We start from the raw sequence: 17,463 nt of genomic DNA on the forward strand, positions 1-17,463 counted from the left end.
AAAGTAGCAATTTTTAAAAAACTATGAACCCTGTCACTTAAATTTGAAGAATAGCTGTTCTCACTTGGTTTCTGTGAGCCTTGTCTATGGGTCTCCATGAAATGTCAGAAAATTAAGCAATAGGTTTTTAATACAACTTGATTGAAGGAATGTAAATCTGTATTCTAGTTAAAATAAATTCAGGACACTCTAATGGTATTTAAAACAACTAAATATACTAAGGGCAGCCAAAGGAATCCAAACAATTACAAAGAGGTAGCATGAGTATAAAGCCAATTTTTCTATCTGGAACATCCACAGATTTATGGCAGTTATTCCAGTACCGTTATCCTAGTAACATGCCTTGTATTTGTAAAAAATTGGTGTAAAGTTTGTCAAGAAAAAGGGTAGTTTGGAAGGGAGGAAGAGATGTTAGTAACTTGCACAGGGTAATAACTTTGGAATAAACATAACTGATAATATGACTCTGTCAGCTAGGCGCAGTGGCTCATACCTGTAACCCTAGTACTTTGGGAGGCAGAGGTGGGTGGATCACTTGAGCCCAGGAGTTTGGGATCAGCCTGGGCAACATGGTGAAATCCCATCTCTATAAAAAATAAAAAAAATCAGCCAGGCATGGTGGTGTGCGCCTGAAGTCCCAGCTACTCGGGAGATGGAGGTGGGAGGATCACTTGAGCCTGGGAGGTCGAGGCTACAGTGAGCTGAAATCACACCACTGCACTCCAGCCCAGGAAACAGAGTGAGACTCTGTCGCCAAAAATAAAAAAAAATAAAAAAATTAAAAAATTATTCTGTCAAATTTTCTTTTCTTTCCATACTTTGTTAGGAGGCTGTTAAGGCTACCAACAGAGGACTAGAAAAAAGTGTTGCCCAGACAGTTAACACATTCTGGAAAGAATATAGTTTTTCACCAAATCACCTTCTTCCCCGTCTAATAAAATGAACAGTTGCTTCTAGTGGAATACAATCTTTATATACCTATTGGACTAGTCTGTAAACCTGCACTTCCATGTCGTAACAAAAGTGATGACCATGTAATCTGATCAACTTATCTTCTGGCATTTTCATGAACAACAATTCTAGGAAACTTCCTTTTGGATGCAAAATGTCCCTTGAATTTTCTGTGTATTCAAAAGCATACAGATATCTTTTATTAGGAAATAGCATGCAGCTTTGAGTATAAGAAACCAAGATATGTGTTTTTTTAATAGCTAAAAATTTAGGGACATGTCTTATCTATTTCCAGCTTAACATCTAGGAGTGTTTATCTTTGTAAGTTTACTTGCAGTCCAAAGGGAGCTGATAAGAACACAGCTATTTTTAAGTAAAATAGCTATTTATTCAGCCTGTTGTCATGCCAACATGTTCTGTGCATATACCACTATAATTAGCACACCCTTTGTAACAGGCAAAATTGTACATCAAGTTGTATGTCATGTTACCTGATTATATAAAAATGTAAAATGAAAATGAATTATCAATTCCTTTTAACATTCCTAGTAAACAATTCAGCAGTAGACATGAGGCACAAAATCTTAGTAAAATATGACACAGGGAGAGCAATAATGTAACTCTTATTTAAACTTAACTTGTCATAATTTGTTATTAATATACAAAGACAACAAACTTTTAAAACATTACATTTACTAAGATTCTGGCAATAAGACACAGCATACCAGGCTTGCCACTCAACTTGTTATTGTAAGTCTCAGCTTCAATATGAAGCCGTTTTTTTTTTTTAATCAAAACCCTGCTTTTTACATGCTAAATATCTTGGCAAGTAGGCCATTAAACATAGTAATGAACTTAAGACAGCAAGAGTGAGGAGTTAACAAAAGCTAAACATTGCAGCCTAAACAAAATTCATACAAAAAAATAAACTATCACTAGTTACATAAAATTTTCCTGACTGGTTAAAACTTAGTATAAAACATGCATTTTAGAATCTTTAGCTATCAAGTTCAAAAAGTACCAATGTCTATTTAAAATAATTCCTCTCCCAAGCCAAAGTGTAGTCAAAATTAATTCAAATGACATAACACATTCTAATGCTAAAAAATATTCATTATTACTAAAGTGGAGGTAAATCCCAGAGCTTTTGGGGCTTTCTCATGCTGCAAATGGCTGTTTCTCTGGTTCACTCAAAGCAGCATATGACAGCATCCAAAGATGACACTAAGCTCAGTAAAGGGCAAGACTGCTGGTAGCCAGCTCTGACCTCCCCGTGAAGCATGGCTACTGTGTCCATAATACAGGATGTGTGAGGATCAAAGGCACACTATTCTGCTAGCTAAAGAGATAGCAAACCACCCCCCAACCCTAAAAGCTCCTTCCCCAGGTAAATAAAAGTATACGAGGGGAAAAAATTAAAATACACTTATCTACAGAGTAAGGGTTTTGAAATATTAATGTAATCCCTCCTTCAAAAATTCTAACTAGAGTCATCTGGTCATTTCTGATTACATCTTAAAGATGTATCCAGATTCAATTTCTGTTGGTTTATCCTTAGACGCTTCTAGTCAAAAGTATTAATTTTATTCCCAAATATCTTAACCACTAGTACGACTGCAGTGTATTATCTCCCAGAGTTATCAAGCACTGGAAGAGAAAAAAATAGATGTTCAAGCAGCAGGCAACATTTATGGCCCTTTCACACAGTGGCATCTGAGTGGCTACTGAATAGTCCAGGAATAATTCCAAAAACAAGAAAATTCATGCATTTTAGTAAATATGTTGTAGTTTTCACAGTTGAAATTTCCTCAGACATTGCACTTTCTTTATAAGGGAATCCTGATTTTTCTTAATGTTATGGTGAGTCAGGACTTGAACTAGCAGCCTTCTTTTTCTTCTTCTTACTGTGTTTCTTATGCTTCTTTTTCTTTTTTGTTTTTTCCTGTAAAGATAATTCCATGTTAGACATTACTATATAAAAATACGCAAATTAAAAGCATCTTTACCATGCTTCTAAGCTACCACATAATTCCAAACAATCCACACAACCAAGAAAACTACTCAAAACATTCCTCAAAAAGTCTCAACAACCAGTATCATATGAGGACTAAAACAGTTCTTGTCGATTTTCAAAAAGATAGGGAGAAACTCTTAAGTCATTAGCATATTAACATAACTTCTAACAAAATTTCCTGTAGGAAATAAATTCAATTGAATCATGCTACCAATCACTATTATTTCATGCTATATAACTTCTAAAGGTAAAGTAATTGCAGTTACTGGAATGGAGTAACCAAATAAAAACATAATTGTTTTTGTAAAATAGTTTTCAGACAGAACAGAGATATTAAATTTGCCAGTTTTAAGTAAATAGGTACACAGGCATTGTGTACTGCTCAGACTGGCAGCACTACTTGAAGTTGCTGTCATTAATTATTAAATTATTAAATTAAAATCAACTAATTAGTACAAAGTATCAATGTATAGTTAAAAAGTCTACTTTGTTAAGCAAAACAGATGTCTGATTTTTAGAAGAAAATGCCACTAATGCCCGGTAGAAGTAGTTAAACTGTGAGTGGATTGAAGGGAGCTGGAGTTTTGCTGAAGTCTGACTCTCCTATTTTTGTTATAGAACGCAGAACTTTTAGAAACACAGATACTTGGAAAGGTGGTACCAAATGAGAGACTGCTGCTAGTGTACTGATATTCAAGAGAAGAAAATGAAAAGCAAAAAAGAAGAGACCTATAAGGATGGTAACAGCAGAGCTTCCTATCCATTTCCTATCTATCAGCACTATCTACTCTCCCCTCTCTCAAAGGCCTCTACCACTCTGTGGCACTAAGCTAATTTTCAACATTCTTTTCTCACTACATGTTTGAAGTACATAGGGAATATTACAGAGTCCAAAATCTTGTAATTTGGGCTTTTAAAACTAAGTTTTGGGTATAGGTTGCTTTTTCATAAAAGGACAGCTGAGCACTCTCTTCTAAAAATCATTTTCTTCTTAGCTTCCATGACACCTCTCTGCTGGTTTTCTTCTATCACAAAGACCTCTTCATTTCCTTTGCTGGCTCTTCTTCCTCTGGCTGGCTTTTCTGGGGCTTCCTTCCATTGTTTACCACATACTCTCCCAGTCACATGCTTTACATTCCACTTAAAACCAATGATGCCCAAATCTTTATATTCAGTCCTACTCTTTGACCTCAGGACGATAAGTGCCTCATTAACAGCTCTACCTGGGATGTCTCGTAGGCATATCTGAAATTAGCACAACAAAATGCTTCATTTTTCTCTCCAAATCCTCAGCCATCTTAGTAACTGGCACTACTTATCTGTCATTTTGCTTAGGTCAAAGAATCTAAGCTATCTCTGATTCTGCTCTTTAACTCCAATGTCCGCATTCAAAGTACCAAGCAAGTCTTACCATCTAAGTTCAAAATGTATCTCAAATCCATCCTTGCCAGTCCAACTCCATTACTATCACTGCTGTACAAACATCATTCCTCACTTGTGCCCACTTATCTCCTGTACCAAAGGATTTACAAAATGTAAAATATTTAGGTCACCTCTTTGTTTAAAACCCTCAGAACAGCTTCTTATAACATTCTGATGAAAACACACTCTGCTGTGTAATGTAAGTAAGCCTCTGCTTACTTCCTACCCTCATTGTATGGCATTCCTCTTTCCCCACCAGGCATTAAGCCACTTACCTTCTCTTAGTCCCTCAAATATATCAAGCTTATTCTCACTATAGGTCTCTAAGAGCTCTTCCCTCTGCCTAGGATATTCTTTCCTTTGATATTCACATGGTTGGCTCTTTCTTGTAAATCAGATTTCAGCTTAATTTCACTTCCTCAGCGAGGATTTCATGAGCCCGTCCCCACAGTATCTCTCTCACGTATCATATTCTTCTATCTCATACTCTTTTGTACTCTTAAGACTTAGAAAAGTGCCTGCATAGAGTTGCTTCATACATACACACTAGCTGAAAGCATGAAACAGTGAAAGTATGCAAATACTTATTTGGTTATGTCTTAATTAATTAATCCGAACCACAGACCAAAGCTATCTTCACCCAAACTACTTTCACATTCAGAACAAACAAACAAACAAACAAAAACTTATTCGTCATCGTAGGCTTGGAGCACATAAAATGTTATTTCTGAATCATTACTAGGGGAGCCTTCCTATCAGAGAAGGTACCTCGTTTTAAGAGTCAGGAAAATTCTGGGAAGGGGTTACTGAAACCTACAAATGATGATGTTTTCATTTTTCTTTCACCTTTCCCTAAGAAAATGCCTTCAAAGGTCATAGCTCACATTTATACTGAGGGCCCCTAAATTACTTTGCTGATATTGTTGGCATTACTCTTTGAAAATAATCTCTGTTAACCATTTTCTCTTGGTTGATCTGTTTCTTGTTTGGATACTACTTCTATTTTCCTTAATTCGCCTCTTCTTTCTCTTTTCTTCTCAATTTGCATTAATAGCAGAGTTTGGCTTTAAAAGCTATCAAAAGAATCTTTATTAATGAGTCATTTATGTTGTCATATTATTATTTTTTCATTGCAGCTAGTGCTTGGAGAGGCTTTTTCTGTTATTACCAGATTTGGCTGATTTGGAAGTAACTATTATCAAAGATAACAGAAATCACCATACTTTGGTCTCTCGTATTTCATATTGTAGCTTAAGGAAGTCAAACAGAAATTTGAGCTTATATTTCTTTTTTTTTTTTTTTTTTTAAGACGGAGTCTTGCTCTGTTGCTGAGGCTGGAGTGCAGTGGGGCGATCTCAGCTCACTGCAACCTCTGCTGCCCAGGTTCAAGCAATTCTCCTGCCTCAGCCTCCCGAATAGCTGGATTACAGGCGCCCGCCACCACGCCCGGCTAATTTTTGTATTTTTTTTTTTAGTAGAGACGGGGTTTCACCATGTTGGACAGGCTGGTCTTGAACTCCTGACCTTGCAATCCACCCGTCTCGGCCTCCCAAAGTGCTGGGATTACAGGCGTGAGCCACTGTGCCCCACCTGAGCTTATATATATATATATGTTTTTTGAGACGGAGTCGCACTCTGTCGCCCAGGCTGGAGTGCAGTGGCGTGATCTCAGCTCACTGCAAGCTCTGCCTCCCGGGTTCACGCCATTCTCCTGCCTCAGCCTCCCGAGTAGCTGGGACTATAGGTGCCCGCCACCATGCCCGGCTAATTTTTTGTATTTTTAGTAGAGACGGGGTTTCACCGTGTTAGCCAGGATGGTCTCGAGCTCCTGACCTCATGATCCACCTGCCTCAGCCTCTCAAAGTGCTGGGATTACAGGCGTGAGACACAGCGCCCAGCCCTGAGCTTATATTTCTAACAGTAAAATACTGAAATGGAAACAGGACATGCTTGCTACCAGGGTATTTTTTATTTTTCCTGAACCATTTTGACTTTCTCCTACCCATTAAGTGAAGCTGCTGAACACACCACACCTTTCCCAACAAATACTTATTTGGTCCCAGTAAATCCAATCAAGCTTTACCATGACTCATTTTATATTAAACCAAAACACCTATTCTATTGTCTGTAAAAACGTTAAGAGATACTTGCTGTTGCTTTTTCTCGTTCTTCACTGCTTTTCTTCTTTTTTGCTCGCACCTAGAAAGTTTAAATTTTTGTGGAGAACAGAAGACAAACATGTAATTTGTACTCAAGGCATTTTTCTTTCATTCTCTATCTTGCATCTTCAAAATTTAAATGTAAAAAACATTTTGACAATCACAGGACATTTAAAATAACTCCTGTTATATCTCAATGAGGTTTCAATAAAAAACATAAAGGAAGGACAATTAAGACGTAAAATCTCTAGACAGCTTCTCTTATATTCCCTTTCAGCACCTAAAAAAATGTGGTACAGTGGAAAAAAACATCAGCTTTAGGCCGAGTGTGGTTGCTCTTGCCTGTAATCTCAGCATTTTGGGAGGCCAAGGCAGGAGGCTTGCTTGAGCCCAGGAGTTCAAGGCCAGCCTGAGCAACATAGTGAGAGCTCCCCCATCTCTACCAAGAAAAAAAAAAAAGAAAAAGAAAAAATAGCTGGGCACAGTGGCATGTGCCTGTAGTCCCAGCTAACTGGAAGGTTGAGATGGGAGGATCACTTGAGCCCAGGAGGTTGAGGCTGCAGTGAGCCCTGTTTGCACCACTGCACTCCAGCCTGGGCGACAGACTGACACCTTGTCTCAAAACAGGCAAACAAAACATCAGCTCTGAAATGAGATAGATTCCAAGGTCTGAATCCTATCTTACTCTCAACATCTGTAAAATGTAGATAATATCCACCCTCAAGGGGAAGTGCCTAAAATACAGCAGGTATTTCTCTCACTCTATGGTGCTCAACAAATGGTAGCTCTATATTCAGTGTAGTTAGTATAAAGCCAATAGGTTAAAATTCTAAGTAAGAATTATCATCCCATTTATATTTTATTTCAATCTTTTTGAGTGTGGTACACTGGATTTAAATTAAACTGAGGCCGGGGGCAGCGGCTGGTGCCTGTGATCCCAGCGCTTTGATAGGCCAAGGTGGGAGAATTGCTTGAGGCCAGGAGTTCAAGACCAGCCTGGGTAACCTAGTTAAGACTTCACCTCTACAAAAAAATTTTTGTTAAAAATTAGTGGGGTGTGGTGGCATGTGACTGTAGTCCTAGCTACTTGGAAGGGTGAAGTGGAAAATCACTTGAGCCCAGGAGTTCCAGGCTGCAGTGATCTATGACTGCACCATTGCCCTCCAGCCTGGGCGATAGAGCAAGAACCTGCCTCTAAAAAAATAAGAATAAATAAGCTGAAAGTTGTCAAAGCTTTCATAAACTTTCGTATTACATGTTAAGTCCAAATGTGAGATATTTCATATTAAACTTGCTACCATGTAGCAGACAAACATAATACAACACTAATACATTACATACAAAACAATATTTATAAATTTGCCTAATGTTGAATTGCGTGGTTTTGCTGCTAAGTGACTACGACATTAAATACATGACAAATACATAAAAATGCAATTAACAATAAAAGGAAGCATGAGGACTAAAAAAAATATAACACATTAAGCACTAGAGATCACAAGCTCACAACAGAGATCACTAACTCACTAGCTCTCTTTACCGAGCACCTAGGAAACAATATTTTTATTGTTATTCTTGTTATTACAATGACTAAGGGTGACAGCAGATGTACTACATCTATATTTAGCCAGGCAGAGATGAGGGATGCTGTCACGCCATGTCCTGAACAGCCCTGTACATCCTCCACGACTTTTGAATAGCCTGCTAAACATTCATGTGATGAATCTGTTTACAATACAGAAACTAAAATTTTTTTTTTTTTGACAAAGTCTCGCTCTGTTGCCCAGGATGGAGTGCAGTGGTGTGATCTCGGCTCACTGCAGCCTCTGCCTTTCCGGTTCAAGCGATTCTCCTGCCTCAGCCTCCTGAGTAGCTGGGATTGCGGGTCTGTGCCACCATGTCTGGCTAATTTTTGTATTTTTAGTAGAGACAGGGTTTTGCCATGCTGGCCAGGCTGGTCTTTAACTCCCGACCTCAGGTGATCCATCTGCCTTGGCCTCCCAAAGTGCTGGGATACAGGCGTGAACCACCACACCTGGCCCAGAAACTAAATTTTAAAAAATAAAATTTTTTTATTTTTTTAAAGAGATAGGGTTTCGCTATGTTGCCCAAGCTGGTCGTAACTCCTGGTCTGAACTGATTCTCCTGCCATAGCCTCCCAAATTGCTGAGATTACAGGTGCCACAAGAGGCTGAGCCACTGCACCAAGCCTCTTGTGCAGGATTTTAAGATATACTGTAATGCCACTGTATGGTTTTTGAAGGGCGTATGTAATATACACCTGCTACAGCCTGCATTTTGTTTTTTCTTAAGATTCTATGTCTTCTGGTGTTACAGCATTGACTGATTGATTGAGATGGAGTTTCACTCTTGTTGCCCAGGCTGGAGTGTGATGGCACAATCTTGGCTCACTGCAACCTCCGCCTCCCGGGTTCAAGTGATTCTCCTGCCTCAGCCTCCCGAGTAGCTGGGATTACAGGCACCTGCCACCACGCCTGGCTAATTTTTTTTTTTTTTTTTTTTTTTAGCAGAGATGGAGTTTCACCATGTTGGCCAGGCTGGTCTGGAACTCCTGATCTCAGGTGATCCACCCGCCTCAGCCTCCCAAAGTGCTGGGATTATAAGCACGAGCCACTGCGCCTGGCCTGGTGTTAATCACATTCAGGCATTTACACTGAAATACAATTTCATAAAATTGCACATTATCATTATTATTTTTTTAGAGATGGGGTCTTGCTATGTCACCTGGGCTAGAGTGCAGTGGCTATTCACAGGTGGGATCAGAGTGCACTGCAGCCTCAAACTCCAGGGCTCAAGCAACCTTCTTGCCTCAGCATTAGCTTTCATTTCAGGAGCAATTACAAGACATTGCTATAAAATGGGGGCAATAGGTCTTAAAGGACCAAGTGCCACTGTTGCAGACCAAGAACGATGAAATCAGAAAGGAGAGAGGCACAAACAAACAAAAATGCAAGACTCAGGGAATGGGGAGATGAGGAATATAGTAGACAGAGATAGAGCTGGGCAGGACTGATACAGGAGGAGGCTAATACGGAAACGATTAAAGAATCATGAAAACCAGCTCTTGTTGCAATCTGCTACCACCCCTTGTAAGCAAGGGTAAGATCCTCAACTCTTTTAGATTACACTATTGGGGGTTAAGTATGTTGATCGCTAAAGAAAGCTACAGTTTTAAAAATAAATGATTCTAGGGCAAACTTGGCTTAGATTTTACTGTAACACCAAGAATTATGCAAACTTTAGCCACCATTTACTCTGTCTCAGGTATGATGCAATGCCTTTCGTAATTTATCATCTCATTTAGTTCTCACAACGAAGTAATATGATATGTTTCCTGCCAACATTTCTTCTCCACTTCATCACCTTTCTACTCCCCGAAAAGTAGCTCAAAACACAGCTAAATATCAACTAAACTGAGATAGTATATGCAATGTTCTATTTTAACAATGTAAGAGAATGTTTGGTTTCAACATGCTGTATGTTACACAGCTTCTTTCATGTAACAAGAATGGTAGCACAATAAAAAGGAAATATTAGAAGACTAAAAATATCTCAGATTAGAAAGGTATGTGGAAATACAGTTAATTATAAAAAATAATAGATAATTATCTTCTGGAAAAAAGCAAAACTCATTCTGAAATGAAATAACTTTCATTTTGTTTTTTCATACTAGAAAGGTGAATAAATTAAATATGAAGTATTTCTTTTTCTAAGTCATATTTATTAAATCAATAACTAAGCATTTTAAAATAGAGAAAATGGATTTGATCATATACTTACCTCCTCAATATACTCTGATTCTGACAAGGACTCAGATGATAAAGGTTTATCTTCAGAATACATCTTTCTCTTTTTGCTGAGTCCTTTAATATCCTATGAAAAATAAATACATTTATCTTGACTCAGACATACTTTGTCACACACATTTTATGTTTCTAAGTTCTATTTAATTCTTCTAATTATTATAATTACCCATTTTTATTTTAGAATGTCTAAAAAGTGTAACATTTACCAGGATTTAAGTCTTTAATTCCACTAAAGCAATATTAAATATATTGAAAAGAAATAACTACATATCCATTTAGATGTAATATCCATCTTATTTTCTTAAATTATACAGAATAGACTTTATACAGTCATATGAAATATGCAGATAATGTAAGATTTGGTTCCTTTGTATTCTAATTCTTTTGTTTCTACCCAGGATTGGATTAGACAGGCCTAGTACTGCAGAAAAGAAAATAAATGGGTGATTATTTGCAGTGATCTAAAAGAATCTCTATGTAGTAATTCCTTTAGCGCAAAGTGTTAAATGTAAATATGTGTTTAAAAAAATCTTAACCTCTAAGTATTTTTAATGTTGAAAAAGTGAGTAACTCTGGAGAAGGAGAGGGGACTGAGATTGGGAGTAGTACTTAGGGGCTTAAATATATATTTGAAGAAATAAAAAAAAATTATGACAACACCCAAAGCAAGTGTAACAAAATGTTAAGATTTATTCGAGCTGCATAGTGGATATGCTGGTTATCATTTTATTATTTTTCATGGAACTGTTCTGTATATCTGAAGTAGTTCATAACAAAAACAAAACTACCCAATGGAAAAAATGTTCACCACCTAATCTTACATAAAAAATTCAGAATGTACAACTTTTTATATAGCGTGAGTCTAATTTTGAAGACAAACAAAAATGCAGAAAATAAACTAACAGTGATGATCTCTCTATGGGCTAGATTATAGCAGACTTCCTTTTGTTTCTGCAAACAGCATTGTTATTTTGGCCAAAATGTTAAATGTTAACTGTAAGAAAATGGACTCAAATCCCACTATCAGAAATTAAACACCATTAAGATTTTTGGAAACATCTTTCTAAGTGTATGTTTACAATATTACATAAATACCTGCTGTCTGGAACCTGCTCTTCTCACCCAATAGTATCTTTCCATGCCAACTACATCATTTATGGCTGCATTTAACATTCACTAAAATGCCAGAATTTACTTAACCCATCTCCTTCTGGAGGAAAGAAATATGGGTTCTTTGCTATTAAAAACAAAGTTGAAATAGAATGAAGTGTATGTGAGTGCAAACTCTTTAATAACGATGACTAAATCAAAGACCAACGTAGCCTTCACACAAATGATCATCTTTTTCTCCCACCATGTCCAAAACTGTCTGTCATCCATTTATGAATCACACTTTACCAAGAAGCCTCCCTCTCAGGCTCTTTATCAATCGTATCAGAGAATACAGTTTGTGTTTTCTTTTAGAATTGCCTAAACGTATATTTGCCAATTTGTCTGTGTATGTGTGGTATTCTTTTTTCCTTATTAAAGATCATTAGTTTTTTGTGTTATACATTCTTAGAAGTTTTTCTTAGTCTGTTCATTGTAGTTAAACTTTGTTCACAGTTTAATTTTTGTAATCAGTTTTTGCCATTCAGAATTTGAAATATATGGTCAAAAGTTTGAGTTTTGAGGCATAAGCCTTCCCCACCCCAGTACTGTAATAGTCACCCTTTCTCTAGTTGCATTTTCATACATTGAAATCTCTGAGCTGTCTGGGATGTATTTGGCTTTATGTAGTGGCCAGCTTTATATTTTCCAAATGATTAGTCATTTTGTTCCAAGAAATGCCATCTTTATCATATTATTACATTCCACAGATTCTCGAATTTTCACCTGGACTCTACACTGTTCCATTGTTTTGTCTATTCCTGTACTAGTACTGCACTGTGTTAATTAAAACATTCTTATAATGTTTTAATATCCAGTACGGCAAGTTATACCCAGGAACACGTTATGACTCTCCATTTATTCAATCTTCATATATGTCTCTGAATAGACTTGTATAGTTTTCTTCAAATAAGTACTGTTTACTTCTTTAAAATTTTCTTGCAGATTTTTTGGTTACTACTATAAAGAGGATATTTTCTACCACTGTATTTTCTAATTGAGTATTTTATTATCAGCACTTTCAGAATAATTTTAAATAATAAAGGGGCTAAAAACAATGATTATGTGACTTAAAATTAAAGCCTTTATATAATTATAATAGACACAAAAACAAAGTAAAGAGACGCCATGGACCAGAAAATGTTGTTTCTTTCCAACAGAAAAATGGGCAAAGACTATGAAAAGCAATGCAAAGAAAATGAAATATGAATGGCTAATAAGCAGGTTAAGAAGCTCAACCATTTGTATACATTAAATTTGCAATAATGACATCTCCCTGGGTTGACAAGTATGTGAAACAAGGGTATTTTTATACACTAGCAAGAATGCAAAATAACAAGCACTTGGGCAAGCAAAATGTTCGTAAGTTGAATGTGTATGCACATCCTAGAACTTAGAAATTACAGTCCAAAGTATCCTTTAGAAAATTAACAGTAAACTGGCTGGGCGCGGTGGCTCACACCTGTAATCCCAGCACTTTGGGAGGCTGAGGTGGGCGGATCACGTGGTCAAGAGTTCCAGAACAGCCTGACCAACATGGTGAAACCCTGTCTCTACTGAAAATACAAAAAAGTAGCTGGGCGTGGTGGCGCATGCCTGTAATCCCAGCTATTCAGGAGGCTGAGGCAGGAGAATTGCTTGAACCCGGGAAGTGGAGGTTGCAGTGAGCCAAGATTGCACCACTGCACTCCAGCCTGGGCAACAGAGCGAAACTCCATCTCGGAAAACAAAAAAACAAAAAACAGTAACTGTGGAAAAGAAGAAATGGGTAAGAAATATCCACAGCAGCACTATTTGTATTACTGAAAAATTAAAACAATCTAGATGTTCATAAAAAGGAGAACGGAGAAATAATTGTGGTGGATTAATTAGTAGAATACCATAAGCAAAAGAAACAAACTTGAAAGTATCAGTAAGGATAGATGTCAACAGTAATGCTGAATGAAAAGAAACAAGTTTCAGAAGGAAACACAATGTTACCATTTTGATAATACACAGTATTCTTCCCATTCCAGTAGGTATAACTAATTAAAAAAAAAAGAAACTCAATATTCTGTTATTTATGAACACATACTAATATAATAAAAGTATATAAATGTGGATAGGAAAGACATACACTAGTTTCAGGATCAGCTATATCAAAGGAAAAAATGATAGTTTGGGGACTTTTTTTTTTTTTTTTTTTTAGAGATGGGGGTCTTACTCTGTCATCCAAGCTGGAGTGCACTGGCATGATCATAACTCACTGTAACCTCCAATTTCTGGGCTTAAGTGATCCTCCCACTTCAGTCTCGGGAGAAACTAGGACTACCACACCTGGCTAATTTGTTTTCTTTGTGTAGAGATGGCCTCTCACTATGTTGCCCAGGCTGGTCTCGAACTCCTGGCCTTAAGTGATCCTCCTGCCTCAGCCTCCCAAAGTGTTCGGATTATAAGCATAAGCCATTGTGCCCAGTCTTTTTTCTTCTTTTTTTTTTTTAATACATAAAACAAGACTTGAAGCCAATGTAAATCATTTATTAATTCTAACTGGTAAATATATTAATATTTGTTGATTACATGTGTGTATATTACTCTGTATCTAATATTTTAAGTACTTAAAAATTGCAGTTCAGTTTTAATATTTCATGTTTCTATGTTACCAGATTTAATTTCACACATACTTTTTTTTTTTAAATATGAGGGTAACCACTTATTTTATAATCGTTCTGAAAATCAGGAATTAATGCTGAATTATATCACATCCTTCTGACAACTACTGAAATAATCATATGGTTTCTTTCCTTGATCAGTTAATATGGCAAATTATATTAAATTATCCTTGAATTCTTGGAATTGGTCATTACAGTTTCTTTTTTAAGTGTCTTTTTAAATTAAATTTTATTTTTTTTTAAATTTAGATGCAGGGTCTCACTCTCTCTCCCAGGATAAAGTGTAGTGGCATGACCTTGTGGGCTCAGTCTCCCAAGTAGCTAGGACTACAGGCATATGCCATCACGCCTGGTTAGTTTTTAAAATTAATTAAAAAAAATTTAAAATTAATTTTTATTTGCAAATTGTTATGTAAACCACTCCTAGGCATATACCCAAGAGAAATGAAAACATGCATCCATACAAAAACTTGTGTTTATAAATGTCCATAGCATCATTACAATAGCCAAATGGTAGAAACAAAACCAAATGTCCATCAACAAATGAATGGATGGCGAAATCCGCCACACACACACACGGAATATTACTTAGCCATACAAAAAACCAAAGTACTGATACATGCTACAACTTGGATGAAATTTGAAAATACTATGCCAGCTGAAAGACACAAAAGGTCGCATATTGTATGACTGCTTTTATATGATAAATCCAGAATAGGCAAATCCATAGTCAGAATACCCATTAGAGGTTACTAGAGAATGAGGGAGTGGTGGTGATTATTTAATGGATATGGAGTGTTTTTATGGGCTGATGAAAGTTTTGAAACGAGAGTGAGATGGTGGTTGCACAACACTGTAAATACATTAATACTGAATTTTAGCTTTAAAATATGGTATATACCATTGTGTACCATGGTATATTAAATGAAACTGAAACTGAATTTCAGTTTCATTTTCTATCATTAAAAAAATATGGGCCGGGCGCGGTGGCTCACGCCTGTAATCCCAGCACTTTGGGAGGCCGAGGCGGGTGGATCATGAGGTCAGGAGATCGAGACCATCCTGGCTAACAAGGTGAAACCCCGTCTCTACTAAAAATACAAAAAATTAGCCGGGCGCGGTGGCGGGCGCCTGTAGTCCCAGCTACTCGGGAGGCTGAGGCAGGAGAATGGCATGAACCCGGGAAGCGGAGCTTGCAGTGAGCCGAGATTGCGCCACTGCAGTCCGCAGTCCGGCCTGGGCGACAGAGCGAGACTCCGTCTCAAAAAAAAAAAAAAAATATGTAAATTCTGAGTAAAAACTAGTGACACTGGTCTGTAGTTTTATTACTGCCCTCTTTAGGTTTTTATTTTTAATAACCAGAATAACAATTTTAAATGTAAACCAGAAATTAAGGTAGGCATAAATTCTGCTTTAACTATATAGGTAAGTTATAAATGAAGGTAAAACATTTATTTACAATAGTAAGAAGATTTTTCAATATTTATCTATGGTATATTCAATTTGAAAGAGAAATTAATGTTCTTTAATTGGAAGGGCCTTCTTCAAAATGGTTTAAGAAATCAAAGGAAATAGGCTGGGCACGGAGAGGCCGAGGCAGGCGCATCACCTGAGGTCAGGGTTTTGAAAGCAGCCTGGCCAACATGGCGAAACCGTCTCTACTAAAAATACAAAAATCAGCTGGGCGTGGTGACACACACCTGTAGTCCCAGCTACAGGGAGGCTGAGGCAGGAAAATCGCTTGAACCCAGGAGATAGAGGTTGCAGTGAGCTGAAACGGCACCACTGTACTCCAGCCTGGGTGACAAAGCGAGACTCCATCTCAAAAGAAAAAGAAAAAAAGAAATCAAAGGAAATGTTTAATCTGCTAATCTGCATTATTTTGTATTTTTAATCTGAGATAATCCATTAATCTATATAAATTCAAACTCTTGGCCTAGAATACTCTTTTGATCCTTTATCTTCAATAATGAATCCAAATTAAAAATTGCTTTAAATTGAAACAAAATATTACAAAAACAAAATAAATATATCTCTTAAAAAGAGATACACATTATTGTTATTTAAGTCAATTAAGTATTATATGACAGACTATCTTAAGGCAATGTAAAAGTATAGTTACCTTTTCTTTCTCAGTTCCATCTTTTGACTTCTTTTTCTTTTTTAAACTATCCTAAACAAAGAAATATATGTATCAATTTTAAATGCCAAGGACACAGCATTACAGAACAAGGACAAAAACACCCAAAAAGTGATTTGCTCTATGACTGAAAAAAGGCTACTCCAATCCCAGTATATTATTCCGAAAATTTAAGAGAAATATAAGTTATGTATACATTTGCTTGTAAGCAAACAGGCTTCTTTATCTGGCTGTATACCAAATTTACTCTTAAAATGATAAGTACTGTCTGTAATACCCACACAGCTTATTTTAAAATAGGACTTCGTGTCATTGCCTGTGTTTGCTTATGGTGGTCACATGTACTGGAGTTGTATTCTAATTTGAGGAGGCAACAATTTCTGCTTTTGAATCCTTTGAGTTCTAGCTATTAATCTTCCTAAGCCTAGTTTCCTTATCCACTTTATCCATAAAGCGGATTACCAAATTACTTCCTGAAGTTGTTGAGATTCAATGAGTTAATAAATTAAGTGCTTAGAATTGTGCCTAACAGATAGTAGGCACTCAATAAATGTTAGCTATCATTATCATGAGACTAGCTCTTCTGCTTTAAAAGACAAAGAGAAAACCAACATTTACTGAGTACTTTCTAGATGCTAGGTATTTTGCCAGAAGATCTCTCACGGGGGCAGGCAGCTATCTGTTATAAATGCAGACAGCTGCTTTGGTTTCCTGAGACTCTAGTACAGTGTTTGTCAAATTGTGGTCCATAAACACCCCAGTATCAGAATCACACAGGGCATCTGTTAAAGACGTAGGTTTCCAAGCCTAATCAGATACTAAAACAGACTCTGGAGGTAGGGCTCAGGAATCAACACTTTTTTCCGAGAACTTCTTAACTTTTTTCTGACCAGTAATGTTTGAAAGCCAACTGTGTGTCTGACAATCCTGGTTAGTACAGAACAAATTTAGGTACGGTATAGTAGAAAGGACATTGGACCAGATTTTAGAAGATAAAGACTCAACTTTTAATTCTAATTCCAGCTGTATCATTTTAAGCCAATGCTTTTTATCTGAACTCTAACTTCTTTATGAAAACAGGGACAATAATGTCAGTTGCCATGGAAATGTGGAGACATGGAGATATATATATATGAAAGCACTTGAATTA

General features: G+C 36.8%; 1 protein-coding gene across 4 annotated transcripts in view; it reads right to left on the minus strand.

Annotated features, from left to right (window-relative positions):
• Window positions 1-1,282: 1,282 nt before the first annotated feature.
• FAM133B (family with sequence similarity 133 member B) overlaps window positions 1,283-17,463 on the minus strand; it is a 29,633-nt gene continuing 13,452 nt past the window's right edge. For all 4 annotated transcript variants that reach the window (NR_109929.2, NM_152789.4, NM_001040057.3 and 1 more), the window contains 4 exons: window positions 16,296-16,346; window positions 10,348-10,440; window positions 6,539-6,586; window positions 1,283-2,893 (listed from right to left, as the gene is read on the minus strand). Coding sequence is in view for 3 of the 4 variants with exons in the window: in NM_152789.4 (NP_690002.2) it covers window positions 2,807-2,893; window positions 6,539-6,586; window positions 10,348-10,440; window positions 16,296-16,346 (279 nt within the window). In the remaining variant the exon portion in view is untranslated. The remainder of the gene's footprint in view (window positions 2,894-6,538; window positions 6,587-10,347; window positions 10,441-16,295; window positions 16,347-17,463) is intronic.

The sequence above is a fragment of the Homo sapiens genome, chromosome 7 (assembly GCF_000001405.40).
Source record: "Homo sapiens chromosome 7, GRCh38.p14 Primary Assembly".
Classification (NCBI taxonomy): Eukaryota; Metazoa; Chordata; class Mammalia; order Primates; family Hominidae; genus Homo; species Homo sapiens.